Source organism: Homo sapiens, chromosome 5 (genome assembly GCF_000001405.40).
Source record: "Homo sapiens chromosome 5, GRCh38.p14 Primary Assembly".
In the NCBI taxonomy this organism is placed as follows: Eukaryota; Metazoa; Chordata; class Mammalia; order Primates; family Hominidae; genus Homo; species Homo sapiens.
This window is the reverse complement of record NC_000005.10, coordinates 139,409,992-139,433,433: the sequence shown is the minus strand read 5'-3', so window position 1 is coordinate 139,433,433 and position 23,442 is coordinate 139,409,992. Positions and strand designations below refer to the sequence as shown.

The window sequence follows — 23,442 nt, the reverse complement described above, 5'->3', positions numbered from 1 at the left end:
TTGCTCTTGTCGCCCAAGCCGGAGTGCAGTGGCACGATCTTGGCTCACTGCAACCTCCACCTCCCAGGTTCAAGCGATTGTCCTGCCTCAGCCTCCCAAGTAGCTGGGATTACAGGCGCCCACCATCATGCCCAGCTAATTTTTGTATTTTTAGTAGAGATGGGGTTTCACCATGTTAGCCAGGCTGGTCTTAAACTCCTGGCCTTGTGATCCACCTGCACTTAATGCCAGCAGGTAAGAAAACATTGCACTTTTTGCAAAATACCTTTTCATCTCATATTGAAAATGAAGCTTTTATATGGGTGCAGGACTGCTATAAGAAAGGCATACAGTCCATGATGTGATTATTACTTATCGCATGCCTGAGCTCAAGGCTTCCACTCACCTCAGTCTCTCAAAGTGCTGGGATTACAGGTGTGAACCCTGCGGCCAGCCCTACCTCATCAACTTTTTAGTGCAGACAAAAGTGCCCTATTCTGGAAAAGAAATGTCACAAAGGACATTGTACTAGTAAGGATGAGAAGTGAGCATCAGGATATAAGGCAGGAAGGGATAGGCTAACTCTGCTATTTTGTGCAAATGCAGTTCAGTTTATGATGGGGGCTGCCATTATATATAAAGTTGCTAACCCCTGAGCCTTGAATGGAAAAGATGAACACCAGCTGCCAGCCTTTTGGTTGTACAGCAAGAAGGCCTGGGCACTGAGAGCCCTTTTTCTGGACTGGCTCCATTGATATTTTCTTCGTGAAGTCAGGAAGTACTTTGCCATTAAGGGACTGCCTTTAAAAAGTTCTTTTGGATTAACTCAGGGTTATGGTGCATGCCTGTAGTCTCAGCTACTTGGGAGGCTGAGGCAGGAGAATTACTTGAGCCCAGGAGTTGGAGGCTGCAGTGAGCTATGATCGTGCCACTGCACTCCAGCCTGGGTGACAGGGACCCTACCCTGTCTCTAAAAAAAAATAAAGTTCTGTGGCCAGGCGCGGTGGCTCACGCCTGTAATCCCAGCACTTTGGGAGGCCAAGGCAGGTGGATCACAAGGTCAGGAGTTCAAGACCATCCTGGCCAACATGGTGAAACCCCGTCTCTACTAAAAATACAAAAATTAGCTGGGTGTGGTGGCAGGTGCCTATAATCCCAGCTACTCGGGAGTCTGAGGCAGGAGAATTGCTTGAACCTGGGAGGAGGAGGTTGCAGTGAGTCGAAAACATGCCATCGCACTCCAGCCTAGATGACAAGAGTGAAACTCTATCTCAAAAAAAAAAAAAGAATGTGAAAAGTCAACCCACAGAATGGGAGAAAACATTTAAAAACTGTATATCTGATAAGGGACTTTATCTGGAACGTACAAAGTTCTCTTAAAACTCAACAATAAGAAGACAAATAACCCAATTGGAAAAATGGGCAAAGGGTCTGAATAGGCATTCCTCCTATATATTCCTCCATATATGAATAAAGAAGATATATATATGGTTAGTAAGCATATGTAAACTTGTTCAACATCTTTAGTCATTAGGGAAATGCAAATCAAAACCACAATGAGATATACCCACTGGAATGTCTATAGTCAAAAAGGTGGATGATAAGTGTTTATAAAGAAGCAGATAAATTGGAACCTTTGTACATTGCTGGTAGGAATGCAGCCAGTTTGGAAAACAATATGGCAATTCCTCTTAAGGTTCAGAAGAAAATTAAGATTATTGACCTAGCAATCTACTCCTAGTATATTCCAAGAGAAATATAAATATACTTCCACAAAAAAACTTGTACATGAATGTCCATAGCAATATTATTCATAACGACCCCAAAGGGGAAACAACCCAATGTCCATTAACTGATAATGGACAAGCAACATGGTGTATATCCATACAATGAAATACTATTTTGTAACAAAAAGGGATGAACAGATTCATGCTACAACATGGATGAACCTTGAAAAAATTACAGTAAGTGAAAGAAGCCAGATACAAAAAGCTACATGTTATATAACTCCTTTTATGTAAAATATTCAGAATAAGCAAATCTATAGAGGGGAAAGTAGATTAGTGGGTCCCAGGGGCTGGGGGAGAAGTGGGAGTGACTACTAAGGAGTATAGAGTTTCTTTTTGGGGTGATAAAAATGTCCTGAAATGAGATAGTGGTGATAGATGCACACCTCTAAAAATGTATTTAAAAACTAATGAATTGTACATTTTAAAAGGGTGAACTTTATGGTACGTGGATTATTTCTCAATAAAGCATTATTAAACAAATAGTAAATTTAGGAGAGGGAGTCCTGAGTGTCTGCCATGGAAGCAGAGATTGGAAACTGGGCTGGGGATTCAAAGACTCCCCATGGGCAGCTCATGTGGAAGGGATCTGCTGACAGCCCAGACCCTGCATTAGAGTCCAACCTGTGTTACTGACTTACGATGAATTTCCCAACGAAGCTCCGAATCTCTGCCTGCCTTACTGAATTATATAGTAGCAAAAGACTGAAGACCTTCTCAATACAAATTAGTAGGTAATGTATATATTATACATTGATACAATGCAATAATATTTAGATTTTAAAAAGAATGAGGTAGGCCAGGCGTGGTGGCTCATGCCTGTAATCCCAGCACTTTAGGAGGCCAAGGCAGGTGGATCACTTGAGGTCAAGAGTTCGAGACCAGCCTGGCCAATACAGTGAAACCCTGTCTCTACTAAAAATACAAAAAACTAGCTGGGTGTGGTGATGCAAGCCTGTAGTCACAGCTACTCGGGAGGCTGAGGCAGGAGAATCACTTGAACCCAGAAGGCAGAGGTTGCAGTGAGCCAGGATCGCGCCACTGCACTCCAGCCTGGGCTCTGTCTCAAAAAAAAAAAAAAGAGGTAGATATATAGTACTAGGTAATATTTATTTAGTATTAAATGCTCTCAAGCACTTTGATGAAGACTTTATTTAATCACAATATCAACTCTGTGAAATATAATTATTAGCCCATTTCAGAAGATAACACCAAGCTATAGAGGTTAAGTACACAGCAAAATCAAAGCTAAACCAAGGCATTTTGACTCCAGAGCTCATCTCTAATCCAGCAGTTCTCAAAGGGTGGTTGGGGAACCCCAAGACCCTTTTAGGGGATAGGTCTGCAAGTTTAAAACTGTAGTCATAATGATATAAACATGTTACTTGTCTTTTTCACTAATTTTCTCATGATTATACAGTGGAGTTTTTGAGAGGCTACATGACATGTAATTACATCATCACTGTTTAAAAATTTTTTGTTTTCATTTCTGGTATAGTAGATGTGGATTGATAGAAGTCATATAAATGAAAGCTCTTTTGAGGTCTTCAGTAATTTTTTTTCGCTTCCTGTACCATGCATATCAGTAATTTTTAAGAGTATAAAACGTTGCTGAGATCAAAAGTTCAGAACTGCCACTCTAATCTAAACTACTGTCTAGTCTAAACTATTATTCTATACTTCTCATCTCTATATGTTAAGGATTGATCTCCAAGATAAATTGTTTTTTGTTTGTTTTTTAGAGACAGGATCATGCTCTGTTGCCCAGGCTAGAGTGTAGTGGAACAATCATAACTCACTGCAGCCTCAAACTCCTGGGCTTAAGTGATCCACCTGCCTTGGCCTCCTGAGTAGCTGGAATTCCAGATGCAAGGCACCATGCCTGGCTAACTTTTTAAAATTTTTCATAGAGATAGGGTCTTACCATCCTGCCCAGGCTGGCCTCAAGCTCTTCACCTCAAGCAGTCCTCCTGCCTCAGCCTCCCAAAGCACTGGTATTACAAGAGTGAGCCACCACGCCCAGCCCAAAATAATTTTTTTTTAAAGCAAGATGTAGAAAAGTGATTATAATATGTTTCCATTTAGGCAAGAAAAAAAATGGAGAGGACTATACCTGTACTCTCTGTACATAGGATCCACAGAAAACTTCTAATGATGGTTATCCCTGTGGTGGGAAACTGGGGGACAGGGAATGATGAAGCAGGAAAATTTTTACTGTATAAACTTTAGTTCTGTTGGCTCTTTTTCTTCTATCATGTGTATGTTAACTTTTTAAAAACACAGTTTAGCCAGGCACGGTGGCTCACACCTGTAATCCCAGCACTTTGGGAGGCCAAGGTGGGCAGATCACAAGGTCAGGAGTTTGAGACCAGCCTAACCAATATGGTGAAACCCCATCTCTACTAAAAATACCAACATTAGCCAGGGCTGGTGGCGCATCCCTGTAATCTCAGCTACTCGGGAGGCTGAGGCAGGAGAATTGCTTGAACCTGGGAGGCAGAGGTTGCAGTGAGCTGAGATCGCGCCATTGCACTCCAGCCCAGGCAACAAGAGCAAGACTACGTCTCAAAAAAAAAAAAAAAAAAAAGCAAAAAATACAGTTTAAAAAGATAGCCATAGGAAAAAGAGAGAAAAAATTATAAACAAACAGGGTGATTAACTGTTTCTTCTGGCTTTGCTGTCCTGTAGTTCATCTCTCAGGATCTTAGCCTGAACCTTGGTGTAACAATTAGCATACTTGTTCTACTCACTTGCAGGGATATAGGAAGAGTAAATAGTAGATGTAAAAGTACTTTGAAAGGCATTAAGTTCTGGGTGGGAGAAGGACATTGTTAATGAATTTGAATGTTTCATTAACGTGTGCACTAATTTTCTTATAGGTTTGTTTTGGGTCCCACAGATTGGAGGTAGGATCGATGTATTATCTTGCAATTAGTTGTACAAAAGGGACCTTTATAGACATACATGCTTGTGATTTTTTTTAGGATCAAGAAATGCAGAAATTACTATGAAATTCTGGGAGTTTCTCGAGATGCTAGTGACGAAGAGCTTAAGAAAGCTTACAGAAAACTCGCCCTGAAATTTCACCCTGACAAGAACTGTGCTCCTGGAGCAACAGATGCTTTCAAAGGTCTGATCCTGAACCAATGCTCAATGGTGCCCTTGTCATGGTTGGTCATAATAAGTTGCTTTTAGCCTTCCCCATAGTTGTTTTATAAGGCCATAAGGAGGGTTTTTTCCCCCTGCCACACCTCTTAAATAGTGATAATCAGCATAGCTCCCACTTGATTTTACCTAGGCTGGAGTGCAGTGGTGACATCTCAGCTCACTGCAACCTCCACCTCCCGGGCTCAAGTGATCCTCCCACCTCAGCCTCCTGAGTAGCTGGGACTACAGGTGAGCACCACCATGCCCGGCTAATTTTTGTATGTTTTGTGGAGATGGGGTTTTGCCATGTTGCTCTGGCTGATCTCAAACTCCTGAGCTCAAGTAATCTGCCCGCCTAGGCCTTCCAAAGTGCTGATATTACAGGCGTGAGCCACTGTGCCCATCCTCCATGATATTTTAAGAAATATATTCTTCAGGCTGAGCGCAGTGGCTCACACCTGTAATCCTAGCACTTTGGGAGGCTGAGGTGGGAGGATTGCTTGAGCCAGAGGTCAAGGCTGCAGTGAGCTGTGATTGCACCACTGCACTCCAAGTCATTGTTACAGGCAAAGATCTTCAGTGAATGCTAAAACCATTGAGTGCTAGGTAGTTGTCGCCTATGGGGTATTCTTGCCAAAATGTTTGACCTGAATCTAATAATGAGGAAACAATCAATATGAAACATTCTACAAGAATACTGATCTGTTCTTCCAAAAAATTTAACATAATGAAAAACAAAAAAGGTGGGACAGTTTTAGCTTAAAAGAAACTAAATGCTATACTTGATCTTGCATGGATGCATTGGATGATAATGGACTGATGTTAATTTTCTTAGCTGTGATAATGGTGTTGTGATCACATAGGAGAATGTCTTTCTTCTTGGGAGATATATGTTGAGGTATTTAGGGGCAAGGTGACGTAATATCTGTGGCCTATTTTCAAATGGTTCAGCAAAATAAATGTATAATTATTACAATACATATGTACATATGTATATATAGAGTTGTAGGTAACAGAGTGGCAAGGCAAACATTTAACAATTCCCCAGGTAAAAGAATCATGAAGAAATACTCTTTCTGTGTTTCTGACAGTGTTGACTGAATTACAGGTAGGGAGTGCGGGATGCCTTAAAAGATTTCTTTTTTTTGAGGTTTCTATTGATTGGTGCTACGGATTGTATGTTTAAATGAAATTGGGCAAGGTTTGCACGTCTGTACATAGAAAGGAGACATGTTGGTAAACATATGTAACTATTCAGCCTTTGAACCCTCCTTGAGACATTGGAAATACATTTCTTAATTTCAGAAAATATTTGTCTAAAGTAAACTGAAATAAGACTATGATGAAGACTTTGTTTTTAGTCAAGCAGGAAGGTTTCTACTAAGATTGTTTCAGAAGAGAATTCAGGAAATTTTTTGGACTACAAGTTAAAATATCACTACTGATGTGTGAACTGTTTCCAACATAAACTATTGCACTCAAGTGAAATAAGAACACTTTTTTGGCCAGATGCAGGGCTCACACCTATAATCCCAAACTTTTGGAGGCCAAGGTGAGAGGATCACTAGAGGCCAGGAATCTGAGACTAGTCTGGGCAATGCAGCAAGACCCTATCTCTAAAAAAATTTTTTTTAAAGTAAAGAGCACTCTTTGTGTGTGTGTGTGTGTGACAAAGTCTCACTCTGTTGCCCAGCCTGGAAGGCAGTGGCATGATCTCGGCTCACTGCAACCTCCCAAAGTGCTGGGATTATAGGCATGAGCCACTGCACCTGGCCAGAACACATTTTTTATGAATGAGAGTGCTGACCAGTTGGAGAACATTTCCCCAACATGCCTGGGACTTGTGGTGACTGGGAACCCGAACTGAGGGGGGCTTCCTAACTTCTAGGACAGCTGGGATGACTACAGGACTGTTGATTGGGAGTTAACTCACTGCAGCAGAAGTTCTTAATTCCTGTGATTCCAATGTTGTTGTTTCTGGCGATCAGGGAAAACCTGAAGGGCAAGCACTGTGGAGAACTTTCTAGGCCCAAGCATCTCTTCTTGGGCCCCTGCGAAGTTGTCCAGCACGAGTCACCTCTAGGCTCTTTGTCACTGCTGCTGTGATCACTCTCAGCCATAGCAAAGACTGTGTCCTCATGTGCTGGTTCTTGTTGGTTGCAGCAATAGGAAATGCATTTGCAGTCCTGAGCAATCCTGATAAGAGACTTCGCTATGATGAATACGGAGATGAACAGGTGACTTTCACTGCCCCTCGAGCCAGACCTTATAATTATTACAGGGATTTTGAAGCTGACATCACTCCAGAAGAGCTGTTCAACGTCTTCTTTGGAGGACATTTTCCTACAGGTTAGTCTCCCCAAATTATCATTCTTAAACATATTTCTTTATTTATGGCTCTCAGCAAGCTCCTGTTTGAAAATCTGAATAGAGGTACAATGGTATGATGGAAACAGCAAGGATCTAGAATCAGTTGAGCAGGAGTTTGAGGCAAGTCTCCAGCCCCCAGCTGTGCATAATTTTGACCAAATCATTTAGTCTCTCTGACCCTGTTTCCTCTCCTGAAAAATGGGGCTGTTAATAATACCTACTTCACAGGGTCACTGTGAGGATTAGATATTTTTAAGTGCCTTATAAATAAGTAACAAAATGCCTATTATTGTTGTGTAAAATAGCACTTACAAAGATAGAAGATAGGAAAGTACCCCCCAGCAAGTTGGAAGTTGGTATAATTCAATGCCCAGGAAGTAAATTGAATTTTATGAGTTGCTATTAAAAGATACCAGTGACACAATATGGTATTGGGCACGGAAGCAGACGTGAACATGCCAGATAGGATTCACGGCCCTAATGCTCTCTCTCTTCTAGCCTTTCGGGGTTCTCTCTCACTAGTTGCAAAGGACTATTTAAATGAAGTCAGGAGAGCTCAGCACGCTTTAGCTCCAGCTGGTTCACTTGGCTTGCCTATTGTCTTATTTTTCTACTGGGTAAAATAGGCCAATACTCTATCCTTAACAAACCTAGCTGGGAACAAGGACCTTGAAAAAGGCAAGGAAGGGTCAGGCGCGGTAGCTTACGCCTGTAATCCCAACACTTTGGGAGGCCAAGGTAGGTGGATCACTTGAGTTCAAGAGTTCGAGACCAGCCTGGCCAACATGGTGAAACCCCATCTCTACTAAAAATACAAAAGTTAGCCAGGCATGGTGGCGGGTGCCTGTAATCCCAGCTACTGAGGATGCTGAGGCAGGAGAATCGCTTGAACCCAGGAAGCAGAGGTTGCAGTGAGCCGAGATCACCCCATTGCACTCCAGTCTGGGTAACAGAGCAAAACTCCATCTCCAAAAAAAAAAGAAAAAGGCAGGGAAGGAGTGTTTGCCATATCCCATACCATGTATTTCTTTTCCAGGAAATATTCATATGTTTTCAAATGTGACAGATGACACTTACTATTACCGTCGACGGCACCGACATGAGAGGACACAGACTCAGAAGGAGGAGGAAGAAGAGAAACCTCAGGTACCTAGGGAGGGAGGAGCACTGCTGCCCATAAACAGTTGTACTTGGCCAACCTTGATGGTACATGGTCAAGTTTTAGAAGTTGAACCTGAGATATGTTGCTTTAGGAAAGATGTGCTTTAGGAAAGCAAAAGCAATGGTTAGAAGAGCTGGAAAATTGGCCTAAATAGGCAGAATGGTATCCCCTCCCTCTGCCCATTCTTGGGTGGCTCTCCCAGAATCTCAGCAATCTGTGGGGCTGACTTCATCAAGGCTTTTTTTTTTTTTTTTTTTTTTTTTTTTTTTTTGAGAGAGGGTCTCACTGTCACTCAGGCCGGAGTACAATAGTAGAAACACAGCTCACTACAGCCTCAAACTCCAGGGCTCAACCAATCCTCCCACCTCAGCCTCTCATGTAGCTGGGACTATAGGTGCGTGCCACCATGCCCAGCTCATTTTTTGTAGAGATTATTTCTCACCATGTTTCCCAGGCTGGTCACAAACTCCTGGGCTCAAGTGATCCTCCTGCCTTGGCTTCCCAAAGTGCTAGGATTACAGGCATGAGCCACCGCTCCGGCTTCATAATTTTCTTGGCTGCAGAAAATAGGAATCCTCTTCAAAATATTTAGAACTAAAGGGGGTTTAAGGTAAGGGATCAAAAGAGTCTCATGAAGCTCAAGGACAAGAAGCACAGCTGGGCCTCATGACAGACAGGAACAAGGAACTGGGATACTGTCAGGCTCCCAAGCAGCTGTGCTCTGCAGGACTCTTTGGGCCCAGATTGTCTCCAGTTTTCCTGCCACTCTTTGCCTCTGTTTTGTTTTCACCAAGCAGCTTTGCTTGTTCTACTTCCCCTTGCAAATAGCCAGTCTACAGTGCCTGAGAGTGTGTGTTCTTCCTTAAAGTGATGACCCAGAAGTGAAGGGTGATGAGTTTCAACCCCAAATTCCTAGGAGAGAAAACGTGATTACCTCTGCCAGAGTTGGATGTCCCCTGAGTCCAATCAGCTGTGGCCAAGCATGATGCTAACCTGGCTCCTAGAGCCCCACTACTGTAAGAGGCACAGTCTGGGCAGGTTTACCTAGAGATGTTTGCTTCATTGGTCTTATTAATGGGGCTGCAGGGGGATTACTGGGTGTCAATCCAGGTTGTTGTTGGACCTCCTTCAGCCTGCTCAGCAGAGAGAGTAAAGGTTATTTGGTATAGATTGAGTATCCCTTATCTGAAGTAAATTGGACCAGTAGTATTTCAGATTTCAGATTTTTTTTTTTTTTTGGATTTTGGAAATTTGCATTATACCATTATATATTTGACAATTCCTAATCTGAAAATCTGAGGCTGGGTGCTATGGCTCACACCTGTAATCCTAACACTTTGGGGGAACTGAGGCAGGAGAATTGCTTGAGCCTAGGAGTTTGAGATTAGCCTGGGCAACATGGCAAGACCTTGTCTCTACAAAAATTTAAAAATTAGCTGGACACGGTGGTGTGCACCTGTGGTCCCAGCTTCTCAGGAGGCTGAGGCGAGAGAATCATCAGAACCCAGGAGGTCAAGGCTGCAGTGAGCCATGTTTGTGTCACTGTACTCTAGCCTGGGTGACAGAGCAAGACCATGTCTCAGAAAAAAAAAAAAAAAGGAAATCCAAAATGCTCCAATGAGCATTTCCTTTAAGTGTCATCCTGGTACTCAAAAAGTTCTAGATTTTGGAGCATTTGTGATTTTGAATTTTCTGATTAGGACTGCCCAACCTGTACTTCTCAGCTGAAAGTACAGCCTTCCCAGAAAAGCCTGGGGCTTTGTGGATCCTCCTATGCAGTGCATTGATAATTTGTTATTTTCTTTGGAGCAACTATCTTATTTTCAATAAGCTTTATATTGATAAAGAACACTTACAGGCCAGGCGCAGTGGCTCACACCTGTAATCCCAGCACTCTGGGAGGCCGAGGTGGGCAGATCACGAGGTCAGGAGATCGAGACCATCCTGGCTGCGGTGAAACCCTGTCTCTACTAAAAATACAAAAACTAAGCCGGGCGTGGTGGCGGGTGCCTGTAGTCCCAGCTACTCGGGAGGCTGAGGCAGGAGAATGGCGTGAACCCGAGAGGCGGAGCTTGCAGTGAGCCGAGATCGCACCACTGCACTCCAGCCTGGGCGACAGAAAAAAAAAAAAGAACACTTACAGCAAGTTTTTATTTTTTTTTCTTTTTCAGACTACATATTCTGCATTTATTCAGCTACTTCCAGTTCTTGTGATTGTGATTATATCTGTCATTACTCAGCTGCTGGCTACTAATCCCCCATATAGTCTGTTCTATAAATCGTAAGTCTGGTATTTCTAAATCTTTCTCAGTAACAGTCTGGGGGTGAAAGACTTGAAGGTTTTGCTGATACATTACTAACATTTCATTTCACCTTTTGCTGTAGAAAACACCGATTTGATGTTTAAAGGAACAGCTGGGTAGTCATGGTGCTGAGACTCAAAAATACTGAGGCAGTCTCCTGTGTGCCTCGGGAAATAGATTGTCTTGTTCTATAGTGACATCATCTGGTCAGCTGCAGAACAGCAGTAACTGGTTTTTGAAGGATCAGTAGAATTTAAGGTTTAGATGAACTCATTATCACACCATGGTAGAGTTAGAAAGACTCTGTTAAGCTGTTGATAGGATTGCTGGACCCTGTGGGTCTCGGAGCATAGTATTAATAATGGGGATCAAGTGATTATTTTCAATTTTTTTGTTTTTGTTGAAAATAGAGAAATTCCTTGTAATGCTTTTTGCGTATAGATTATAAACTCTGATAGGATTTTTAAAAATTTCTTCAATTAATTCTTTCAGTTGATTCAGTTCCCAAAGTTTGGTCCCCAGACCAGCCATCGTCAGCATCAACAGGCAACATGTTAGAAAGGCAGATTCTAGGGCCCCTCCATATCCATTGAATTAGAGGCTCTGGGGGTAGGACCAGAAGTCTGAGTTTTAAAAAACCCTCTAGATTATTCTGGTCCACACTGAAGTTTGAGAATCACTAGATTATCTTTTTTGTTAATAATGAATAATAAATTATTATTCATTATTATAATTTAGTGGGAAAAAAACCTTTTAAAAGTAGAATTTATTAGACAATATATAACAGGAAGAGTCTTTGTCAGTGATCACTGTAGACAAGACCATCATTCCAGGTCAATCCAGGTCAGTATTTCCTTTTTTGTTTGTTTTTGTTTTTTGAGACAGAGTCTCACTCTGTCGCCTGGGCTGGAGTGCAGTGGTGCAATCTGGGCTCACTTCAACCTCCACATCCCTGGTTCAAGGAATTCATGTGCCTCAGCCTCCTGAGTAGCTGGAATTACAGGCGGCACGCACCACCACACCCGGATAATTTTTATATTTTAGTAGAGACAGGGTTTCACTATGTTGGCCAGGCTGGTCTCAAACTCCTAACCTCAGGTGATCTGCCCACCTTGGCCTCCCAAAGTGCTGGGATTACAGGCATGAGCCATCGCGCCCGGCTAGTATTTTCCTTTTACAGAGAGCGAAGCTGAGGCTGAAAGAGAGGTTTCTTTTTATTGTTTTTGTTTTCGAAGCAGTCTTGCTCTGTCACCCAGGCTCCCAGGCTGAAGTGCAGTGGTGCAATCTTGGCTCACTGTAATCCCCTTCTCCCAGGTTCAAGCGATTCTCATGCCTCAGCCTCCTGAGTAGCTGGGATTATAAGCATGTGCCACCACACCTGGCTAATTTTTGTATTTTTTAGTAGAGACTGGGTTTCACCATGTTGGCTGGGCTGGTCTCGAACGCCTGACCTCCACCTTTCTTGGCCTCCCAAAGTGCTGGGATTACCGTCATGAGCCACTGCACCTAGCCTTCATAGAGAGGTTTTTGCCATCAGGCCACACTGGCCTGATTCCCTCTGTTTCCCAGCTTCTCATGTTTTTCCATATGGCACTTTAGCTTTCTTTCTTGTGAGGCCAGCGGGGTAAGCACGGACCTGCTCTGTAAGCTCCCCCAAAACCTTAGAGTGAGGGGAGAGCAGTCATGGCTTCAGCTCTTACTCTAATTAGAGAGGATCAAAGGAGAGGGCCGGAAAAAGGCCAAATAAAATATAGCCCCTTTAATGTAGAATTTGTCCAGTTTGAAGAAAACCATTTCTGTCACATTGTTTTAACTTGAGTTTGAGGTCCCTTCTATGTTTCCTTATGGTTAGAATTAGTCAGCTCAGTACTCTTATTAATGTTGCTAAGCACCAGATACCTTTGGATGTCTTGGACCCACAGAGAGTTAGCTCTAAAGCATCATTGAAATCTTTTGTCTGAGTTTCTTGCAGTTCTCAGTTAGCAGCTATGTGCGAAGTACTTTTTATCATGTCCAAAATATTGCTTCTAGGTTGGTGTGAGCTATCTGTTTTTTTTGTAAATAATTTGCTATATAACATAATCAGTTCATTCAACCAGCATTTATAATAGCCTACTCTGTCAGGTACCATACTAGATCCTACACAACGTAAAAATTGTTTGTTTTAAGCATTCAGCATTCTACTTTTAGCACAGAGAGCAGTATAAGAGAGGTGAGTCCTTTAAGAGAATAAACTATGCTGAAGCTGAATTCATAGTATGAACTTGCTTACATAATACAATTATGATGATGTTATACTTACAACTTTGCTAGGGAAATAAGAAGTGTTGGGTATATTAGAAAATGATATCTGCCTCTGCTCTATGAGCAGATGATGATGATGATATCTGTGAGGGCAGTGCTAAGAGTAATATTGCCAAATATTATGAGCTCACATGAGCCTCTCTCTCCTTGTTTCAGGACCTTGGGCTACACCATTTCTAGAGAAACTCAGAACCTGCAGGTGCCTTACTTTGTGGATAAAAACTTTGACAAGGCCTACAGAGGAGCTTCTCTGCATGACTTGGAGAAAACAATAGAGAAGGATTACATTGATTATATCCAGACTAGTTGTTGGAAGGAGAAACAACAAAGTAAGATACTGTAAAAGGGGCATTAGCTGGTGGCTGTGGTTCCCAGCAGGAGGCACCCCCAGCCTCCTGATCCCTCCTCTCTTCTTGTTTGAGGCTACGCATGTTTATGTGAACAGAGTCAGAGGACAAAGGCCATTCAGGATACTATAAAAAAGTAGGGGAAATTTATTGACAGGATACATGTGGCCAGGACTTGGAAATCTTAGGAATTTAGGCGGCACTAGTCACCTGTCTGTATGTCTGTCTCTCTTTGAGTCTCTACCTCTCTCTGCCAATCTGCCCCCTCTCCTCTCCCCACCAGCTGCCTTCCTTTCTTTCTTCCAGCTTCCCTTTTGCATAACCTTGTTTGCCATGGTTTACAGTGGTTGCCACCCTGCTTATCACTCTCTCAAATTCCCCAGTCTCACCAGTCAGTGCCCCTTTCTGCAGCACACACGTCTGTAAGTTCTTGGTGCTCGCTGATTTGGTCCACAGTTTCCCAATTCCACACTCCCTAGAGGGAAATCTGATCGAGCCAGCCTAACTTTTTGAAACAGAACAAAGGTTTAGAGGTTTCTGGTATGGAATGAGGTGTCCCCTACCCTCACCTCCAGCTGGTTGTGGCCACACAGAACAAAAGCGACCCCTTGGGTCTGCCCCTTTGGGTGTGGCAGGCCTTCCCCCCTATTTCCCTCTCTGGAGACAGTGGGGATGATAGCATCTGCCACTGGCTTACAGCTCCAGCAAGTGTTACTAGGAGTGTCTGCAGCAGGGGTAGCCCCGTCTCAGCCAACAGCTTCACCTTTGGTCCCACTTGAATTCTACACACACATACCGCGTTAGTGACTGTGTCTTCTAAAACTTGGTTTTGATTATTTTTATTTTCTTTTTTATTTTTCAGGAGGTACCCTTTTAACTGAAGTTTTGGCTCATGTTTAAAAAGCAAATTCTGACTCATTTCTAAAGCCTTATTACTGAGTATCATTAAATACCTAATGGAGTCTGATAAAATTAGCTCTTCAGTCACAGTGCTGCTAAGCCCTCATTGACCATCACACACTCCCAACCCCGCCCTCAAGTTAAGCTCTCCTTCCTCTGTGTTCTTAAAGCACTTTGTTCAGCCTGCTAACATAGTACCAATCACACAGTGTTAGAGTTCCAGGGATATATGTCAGTCTCCCCTGCAAGACTATGGACTGTCTGGGAATAAGAACTTGGTCTTACTAATTTTGTGTCCCAGGGTTCTGGCACAGTCCTTGCTTCAGAACAAGTGCTCAACAAATGTCTTTTGAAGAGAGGATTCTCAGGAGTAGAAAACAATGAAAATGCTGAGGATTGTGAATAACAACAGCAGGGTTAGTGTCCTAGCTCACCCTTAGGGACCTGGTCTCTGCCCCCTATTTCTGTACGGCAAAGTCCTAATGTTCTCTCAAGGTGCATTAGGAAGTTGGTGAGCAATGACTCTGGGATATAAGAGGAAATTAAACAGGAAGAGGAAATTCCAATTTATTGAAAAACACTGAGGATTCAGGAAATACTCTACCCCATTGCTAAACTAGATTTTACAAGAATCAAAAATCAGGAAAGAATTTTAGAGCAGGATAAAGGCCTCATATTAAAAGGCAGTATATAGGCCAGGCATGGTAGCTCATGCCTATAGTCCTAGCACTTTGGGAGGCCGAGGCAGGAGGATCACTTGAGTCCAGGAGTTTGAGACCAGCCTGGGAACCCCATCTCTAGAAAAAGTATAAAAATAAGCCAGGTGTGGCAGCACATGCCTGTGGTTTCAGCTACTCAGGAGGTCGAGCCTGGGAGATCAAGGCTGCAGTGAGCTGTGATCACTCCACTGCACTCCAGCCTGGGCCACAGAGCGAGATCCTGTCTCAATAAAAAGGCAGTATATACATGGATCCAAATCAGGTGAAAGCCAGTGTATGTCCTGAAAATCCCCATTGTCTGGGTCCTGGGAGGGCTTTGACTTTGTTGCTTTCTGCAAGAACTGGATGAAAATCTGCATTTCACATTCTTCAAACACCCGCCTGCCCCACATCTTCCTCTGTGGCAGTAAGATGCTGGAATTATACAAAGAGCTCATGGTAAGGATTGCACCAGAGGTAGTTTCTCAGCTTTTGTCCCCATCCCCATGAGGCCTAGTTCAGAGCTTCGGCACTCTCCAGGTATAAATAAAAATCCAGTGAGTGGCCAGGTGTGGTGGCTCATGCCTGTAATCCCAGCACTTTGGGAGGCCAAGGAGGATGGATCACCTGAGGTCCGGAGTTCGAGACCAACCTGGCCAACATGGCGAAACCCCTTCTCTACTAAAAATACAAAAATTAGCTGGGTGTGGTGGTGCGCACCTGTAATTCCAGCTACTTGGGAGGCTGAGGCAGGAGAATCTCTTGAACCCGGGAGGCGGAGGTTGCAGTCTGCTGAGATCGTGCCACTGCACTTCAGCCTGGGTGACAGAGCGAGACTCCATCTAAAAAAAAAAAAAAAAAAAAAAAATCCAGTGAGTAAGCATGATGCGTGTACCCACAAGTTCCAAATGGCAGTTATCAGCACAAACCCCTTAAAAATCTATTTCTGGCATTTAAGTACAGCGGCTATGCAGAGCCTCCACACAACCCAAGTGCCATTTGAGAACAAGCAGCATCTGCCCTCCGAATCCAGCAGCAAGTGCAGCCAACAAGGTTAAATTTAGCACTTGGAGGTTGTAAAAATAAACCCACTTGAGAACAAAGTTCACTCTTGGCAAAATACCAAATGCAAACTGTTTTTAGCAAGGTTAGCCATTGACTTTTTAAATCTTTGTTTGGTTCATTTATTTTTCTCTGCTCTTCCTTAGAATGTTTAATCTGGGTGAAAATTTTTTTTTTTTTTTTTTTTGACAGAGTCTCGCTCTCTCGCTCAGGCTGGAGTGCAGTCATGCAATCTCGGCGCACTGCAACCTCCACCTCCCAGGTTCAAGCGATTCTCCTGCCTCAGCCTCCTGAGTAGTTGGGACTATAGGTGCATGCCACCGTGCCTGGCTAATTTTTGTAGTTTTTAGTAGAGACGGGGTTTCAAGGATGTTGGTCAGGCTGGTCTCGAACTCCTGACCTCAGGTAATCCGCCCACCTCGGCCTCCGAAGTGCTGGGATTACAGGCGTGAGCCACCACACCCGGCCAATCTGGGCAAACCTTTATGAGTAATCCCTTACTATAAACACTAATTGTCCTGTTTACTTCTTCGCAGCTGCATCTAGATAGTAAGCCTGATGCCAGGGCAAGTGGCCACACCACTAGGCTGGGCTGGACGAAGGTAGCAGGCAGGAACTGCCTCTTGGCCTAGCTGAGCTGAGCTGAGCTCCTGGCCCAGACTGGTAGAGGAGCACTTCTTTCCACACCCTTGAGCAGGATAACCTAGTGGGTAGAAGCTTAGGCTTTGAAATGGGGATAGAATCCACTTCCTCCTAGAGAGGTTGTGTGGGTTATGGAAGATGGTATGGGTGTAACTCTTAGCACAGTGTCTGGCACATAGAAAGTGCCTAATTTCTGGTGGAGTCCTGGCTTTACCTGGCTTTGCACTGTAGACTGGATGTAGCACCATCTCATGGGGCTGGATCATGAGGGCAGTTGGGATCTGTTGCGGTCTTTCAGCTGTTGAGACCAATCTGGGCTCTTTTGCAGAGAACCTTAGGAGAGGTTCTGGGTCTTGCTTCTCTTGGCAATTTGCCTGAGTCAGTTTATCTTTAAGGCTCAATGCTCTGTCCATCTGTTACAGTGGCATTCAGAGGAAGGGGAACTTTCTGCTAAGAAGAAAAGGTATTCTCTGGAACCTGCCACTCCCCAAAATTTTTTTTAATTACTTAGAATTTATTGAATATTAACAGAATTTGTCAAAAGTAGCATATTCTTCAAGTTGACCCTTTGTTCATTGAAGGATGAAAGGATTCACTGGCAGTTTGGAGAGAAGTTGCTTTAAGCTTGGTAGTGGGGATGTGGGACATGATTCCTTGAAACACTGACCTTGTACAAGGTCATTGCTCTGGAGCAGGGGTCTCTGAGCTGGTTTCAGTGAACTTTATGAAAAGCAATGTGATATTTTGAGAAAAGCAGTTATCTTTCATCAGCTTGTTGAAGTGGCCTTCAATGTAGAAAATATAAAGAGTCACTAGCCCTTAATGTTTCCTGGAACAAGATTTCAGGGAATGAAGCATTTAGAAAAGCTGAGCAAATGGAAAACCTGAGGAAATCATTTCAAAGAAAAGCAAAACCACAGAATCTGTTTCAATACTGGTGTAACTGTGACTCCAGAGGACTAAAGGCATAGACTGACTTCACAGAGGCCTCCTGGGCAAGGTTACCCACATGCCAAAGTAGCCTGAGATTGGAGTTAGTGCCGAGCCCTGGGCAGGATGCAGGAGCAGAGAGCTTTCATTTGGATATGGCCCATGATCCTCCATGACGCCCCATCACCTGCAAGGGTGACTGTGCCAAGGCAAGCCCTGGCTAGCAGGCGCTGCAGGCACCCTCACCAAGCAGGGAGAGCGCATTGTTCTGGAGCCTGGGAGACCCACTGCTTGCCAAGCAACTGCTGGGCTAGAGCCCAGGCTGTGCGGCCTCCATTGTAGAGGGAGGGTTTTTATGCATATCCATCCCTCACTCTGGAGTCCTGCACTTAATCTGCACTTTGGGCCTTACTTGGGGGTAAATAGCATCATTGTGCACAGAAATGCCAGACAGTGTTTTGTGTTGATAGAAACGTATTCAGAAAGCAATGCCCATTGTTCCCCCTGGCTAAATAATAATTCCGTTTCCAGGCAGTTTGCTGATTAATCAGACAGGTGTCTTTCGTTCCACCAAGAAAAACAAAATCTGTCAGCAAGATGATTAAGAATAGATAGGCATATTTCAAAACAATTAAAATAGCATTTTTACAAGTCTGGTCCTTTAAACATTGAGTAGCTGCCTGCTGTTGGAGGCTTTCAGGAAACACACACCACATCCAAGCATGCCATCCTGTTAATACGCAATACGTCTCTAAAGGTGCTCTTCAGGCATTCCTCCCTGAATATGTCTGAAACCTCACAAAAGAATAAAAAATAGAGGCAACCAAACCACTGTTGAGTCAGGAAACACAGCAGAGATTATATTCTGGTTAAAAATAGAATGACCTTCTCCACCATAAAGAGAAAATGAAATTAATTTAGTCAAGGAGACAAAGGTCACCGGATCCAGATGATTCAACTTTTAGAAAGGCCCAGCTGCCTTTGGCCTTTGAGTTGGGGACCCTACGTGTGGTGAGGGAATGAACAGCGCCAGTAGTGCCCTGGCCTTCTGTGGACGCACACCCGGCAGCAGTAGGCTCTGTGTGCCTTCGCACATGTGAGTTATGATGCAGCAATGCAGGAGAAGAATAAAGCAGCTGTCTGTTTCAGATGACAGGAATAGGCCACTGGACTCCATTCTCTCCCAGCTGCTGTTGGAATCCCGTTTGTAGGAGGCTATAGGGTGGTCTCACTGCACATGCGCAGGTTTCCTAAGTCTGGTGCCAAATGTTTTCTTGGTAAGAACTAAGTCCAGTGCTTTTATAAGAGAGCACAGATACTGTTGGACTGCAGGGTCACAGGTGCCCTTTAATCCTCCACACCTGGTCTAGTACCTAAGACGTGTTTTGTGAATAAATGACTAAATGTTTCTTATATTTAATTGTAAGAAAAAGCTTGAAATGAAGTAAAAGGAGCTTTGACTCCAGAAACATTGAAATGAAACAAAGGAGTTCAGCTCTTGATGAATTGGTTACCTCTTTTATCTTTCAGAGTCAGAGCTGACAAATTTGGCAGGATTATACAGAGATGAACGATTGAAACAGAAAGCAGAGTCGCTGAAACTTGAAAACTGTGAGAAACTTTCCAAACTCATTGGCCTACGCAGAGGTGGCTGAGAGGATAATGGTCCTACGCAGGGCTGGGGTTTTGCTACTTGTTCCTATTTATGTTCCTGATTCCATTTTATAATACAAAACTAGGTAATGATGAACACTTTACTATTTGCTAACTTCGTTGGTTGGGCAGAGTGGCAGGAGCATGGGCACGAGAGCCAGATGTGTCTTCACAGGATCCTTCCTGGGGAGTGGCTCCAGGGACCAGGAGTAGTTCATCTAAGTTAAATTAATGGCAAGGCATTGGATTCCGTCTCCCTGCTCCATGCCTACCCTGCCTATGTGAATGGAGTTCAGGGCATCCCAGAGCAGATCCATGCTTTCTTCCTTCTTCCCTTCTTCAGTGAAGTCTTAAGAACCAGGCATTCCTAGGCTTAGCCAAAGCTTAATATTAGTTATTTACACTGTCTACCAAGAATTATACCTCTCCCTTCATTAGAGTCATCATCTCCGCCAAGATTTAGCCTTTGGAACATGTTCCTGCCCAGCTTTCCATTTTCTAGGGGAATATGGAGAAATTTAAACTATTGTAGTCAATAGTTTTCTATTATTCCAATCTCTGCTCAGTTAGTAGCATTAGCAAACTGCCTAATTTGAGATTCCTTTATTTCCTTAACCCTCTCTCCTTTAGAGAGTCCAGAAATTAAAACTACTGAGCAGCATCTGGAGGCGGGGGCCAGGGCGAAGGTATAATGCAAGACCGAGCCTCATCTCCTCCACGAAGCCTCCCTACTCCATCATAGAACCCAGAGAATGTCCCTTCGGTCATTTCCCCTCAGTATCATCATTGGTGTCATCGCACTTAGGCTGAGTTCCTACATCCCACAGAGGCAGATGGTCAGACCCAGGAGGAGGCATTGCCAGCTCTCCAGGCTGTTTGCTCAAGCCTAGAGATAGAGGAGACAGATCCTCTCTCCTTGGATATGGGGGTCTAGCTTTGGCCCCAGCAGCCACTTTGTTTAACCCAGTATCCTATAGTTTGTGATTTGAGATGATTTTTCATTCATTCAACATTTATTGAGTGCCTACTATAAAAGCAGGGGCTCTCACACATATTTTCTTACTTAAACCTCCTCACAACTCTGAAGTAGATGTATTATCCCTGGTTCTATGAATGAGAACATTGGCCCAGAGAGGATGACCCAGGTCTTGTAGTGGCAGAGCAAGACGGTAGGCTGAGTGTCAAGTAGAAAGTGGGAGAGCATCCTCATGTCTCAGGTGATTCTAGCCAGACTGGCAAAGCAGAACCTTTCCCGAGGATGCCTCCGTCCTCCCCAACCCCATGACCCCTCATCTTTTCTGTGGCAATCTTGCATCTGTTCAGGACAACATCCCTGCTGCTCTTTAGGAAGCAGGACCCTGTCTAACATAAATTCTGTACACAAAATAAGAGGTCCCTCACAGGCAGGCAGCCCTCCACTGGTGACTAGGAAGAATTCAGTCACTGCCTGGGCTGTGTGGTTCTGGGCCTTCCTGTGGAGCTGAGCTGCCTGAATTATCATGACTCTGAACTTGGAAGGATCATTAAGTGACTGTAGCCTACACTCCATGCTTCCTTCATATTGGAAGAAAAGTTTCTGGTAGAGAGTCGGCCGGGTGCACTGGCTCAAGCCTGTAATCCCAGCACTTTGGGAGGCTGTGGCAGGTGGATCACCTGAGGTCAGGAGTTCAAGACCAGCCTGGCCAACACAGTGAAACCCCATCTCTACTAATAATACAAAAATTAGCCAGGTGTGGTGGCACATGCCTGTAGTCCCAGCTACTCGGGAGGCTGAGGCATGAGAATCGCTGCAACTTGCAAGGTGGAGGTTACAGTGAGCTGAAATCACGCCACTGCACTCCACTCCATCTCAAAAAAAAAAAGAGTCTACATTAAACAGATTCCAAAGTAAAGTTTCTTCATCCCAATGCATGGCCATGATTTACACAGACGTGCCTAGCATGGCTCATCAACATCTGAACGGTTGTTCCCTACCATGCCTCTGCAGGCATTCCACAGAGTCAGGAGATGGGTTCACAGGTAAAGATTGGGGGCTTTAGTGGCTTGTAGGGGACAACTGCTCAGTTGCAGGGAGAGGGAGCATTTCTAGAAATAGCCAGATTTTGCTGCCCAACTAGATCTGTCCTCCTGGTTTTAGGGGGCCCTTCTTGATCCCCTCTGAGTGACTGAGGGAGGTTACATTGTAAAATATGTCCATGAGCCAAACAGGCTTATGGAAAGTTCTTCTACACACAAAAAAATCAAAGCTCTCCTCTCCCCATCCCCAACCACTGCTAGAAAATTGGCCATAATGAAACTGACTTGACAGGTTAAAAGACCCTGTCCTAGATGCCCAGGAATCAGGTAGTCACACATTTTATGGACTTCATGGCAGCGATAAGTAATCTGTGATGATACTAAATAGAAGCAATAATAACTAACTCCATTAAATGTCACGCTGATTGTCTGTTTTTATAGCACCGATGGTACTGTTTTATTTATTGCCAATAGACCACAACATTCACATCTGTTTTTCCTCAAGGGAACCGTATTTGCTTTTGGTTGAAGGATTTATCTATTTGATACTATCCAGAATATTGTGAAGCTATAATTTCCTGGGTTATATTTTAGATGGGTTGTCTGCATGGTGGTAAAATAAGCTTTTTCCTCTCGCCTACGTCCTTTGGAAGATCTCCTGATCATACATAACTAGGTAGGGCTTATTCTTGCTGCCGGAGCTTGGCACCCAGCTCTAGACTGTTTCTTTGAGCATTACTGCAGATTGGAGACGTGTGTGAGAGGAGCAGCGCTCAGAAATAGGGCTTGAGGCTCAAGCAGAAACTGAAGCTCTCATTCAAATGAAGATGCTCTCTCTACCGCACGATCGGCAGTGAGAAAAGGAGGATGAAAATCCTTCTCATCACAAAGAGCTTGAAGGAACCCACGTCCCCAGATTAGCAACCCTAGAGTTCATCTGCTCAGGCCGGGAAATGTGTAAGCTTCCTTGATCAGCTCCAGGCCTCACAGCACGGGAGCAGTGACCAGTAAGGAAACGTCACTGCTGTGCTTTCTGTTGGAAATTGTTCGAAAATACAGTGAACTGGCCAGGCCCAGTAGCTCATGCCTGTAATCCCAGCACTTTGAAAGGCTGAGGCAGGCAGATCATTTGAGGTCAGGAGTTCCAGACCAGCCTGGCCAACATGGTGAAACCCTGTCTGTACTAAAAATACAAAAATTAGGCGGGCATGGTAGCACGTGTCTGTAATCCCAGCTCCTCAGGAGGCTGAGGCAGAAGAATCTCTTGAGCCTGGGAGGCAGAGGTTGCAGTAAGCTGAGATCACATCATTGCACTCCAGCCTGGGTGACAGAGCAAGACTCTGTCTCAAAAAAAAAAAAAGAAAGAAAAAAGAAAATACAGTGAACTCCAGATGCCACTGGAACATGGGTTCCAGCAGCCTGGCCAAGCTATGTGTCATTCTTTTTCCTCATGATACCCAGGATGGGCTTTGTGAGGAGGCACTGTGCCGTTCCAGTGGCTTTCTGTTACAGCTGGCCACACCATACAAGCAAGTACATCATCTGCATGCACTGCTCCTCACAGGAGCTTGCACTTCATTCATATTTATTCTGCCCTCATTTAAGGTATAAGCTTAGTGTCCTAATATATTTATTTTTGGAAAGGGCCAAGTTACAAAACATCTTTTTTTTGAGGCTGCACTGTTGATATGTCATGCAGTGGCCACCAAGAAAGTATATACTCGTGTTAGATACTGATTACATCATTTACATCACGCTCAGTATTTGGAATTAAAGATGTGAATGTTCTGTGACCAGAGTAGGGATGACACAAATGGAATCAGCTCCTGGTGGACTAAGAATCTTGAAAAAATCTGGCCACCTCATCCACTACATCTGGATTGAGTGTACTGCAACAAAGAAAAACATTAAACAATTTTATATTAAAAGAATGGCTACTTTTCCTTGGTTCTTTTACCTTTGCCCATGGCATCCTTGGCCACTGCACATCGCCTGACTCCCTTGGAGCCACTTCCGACTAAAGAAGCTTTTGACGCCTGCTCCAGTCTTCCCTCACCCGTCAGTGGGATTATTTGCATTTAGAATAGTAGATAGCATTGTTGGCATCAGTTCCACATTTTCTATCAGATAACAGCAGCTGCA

At 43.9% G+C, this 23,442-nt stretch overlaps 1 protein-coding gene and 1 long non-coding RNA gene across 2 annotated transcripts in view, besides 2 other annotated features; one reads left to right on the top strand and one right to left on the bottom strand.

The window, feature by feature from the left end:
- Positions 1–23,231, top strand: part of DNAJC18 (DnaJ heat shock protein family (Hsp40) member C18) — a 29,323-nt gene extending 6,092 nt beyond the window's left edge. Inside the window, exons 3-8 of the mRNA NM_152686.4 lie at positions 4,751–4,896; positions 7,077–7,262; positions 8,320–8,429; positions 10,617–10,726; positions 13,209–13,381; positions 19,162–23,231. Of these exons, the coding sequence (NP_689899.1) occupies positions 4,751–4,896; positions 7,077–7,262; positions 8,320–8,429; positions 10,617–10,726; positions 13,209–13,381; positions 19,162–19,286 (850 nt within the window). The 3' untranslated portion in view covers positions 19,287–23,231. The remainder of the gene's footprint in view (positions 1–4,750; positions 4,897–7,076; positions 7,263–8,319; positions 8,430–10,616; positions 10,727–13,208; positions 13,382–19,161) is intronic.
- Positions 10,923–11,072: a silencer, noted in NCBI's record as "silent region_16412". NCBI's record gives its function as "represses an Ori minimal core promoter by ATAC-STARR-seq in GM12878 lymphoblastoid cells {active_cell/tissue: GM12878}" and the evidence as "EXISTENCE:reporter gene assay evidence [ECO:0000049][PMID:35858748]".
- Positions 13,098–13,603: an enhancer, noted in NCBI's record as "NANOG hESC enhancer chr5:138755520-138756025 (GRCh37/hg19 assembly coordinates)". NCBI's record gives its function as "activates a minimal SCP1, AML or CMV promoter by ChIP-STARR-seq in naive H9 embryonic stem cells {active_cell/tissue: H9 hESC(naive)}" and the evidence as "EXISTENCE:reporter gene assay evidence [ECO:0000049][PMID:30033119]".
- On the bottom strand, positions 14,842–15,839 carry LOC124901082 (uncharacterized). Its single transcript, XR_007058960.1, has 2 exons — positions 15,718–15,839; positions 14,842–15,432 (listed from the first exon to the last, which is right to left on the bottom strand). It is a non-coding gene; the product is annotated as an uncharacterized LOC124901082 (long non-coding RNA).
- Positions 23,232–23,442: the final 211 nt, after the last annotated feature.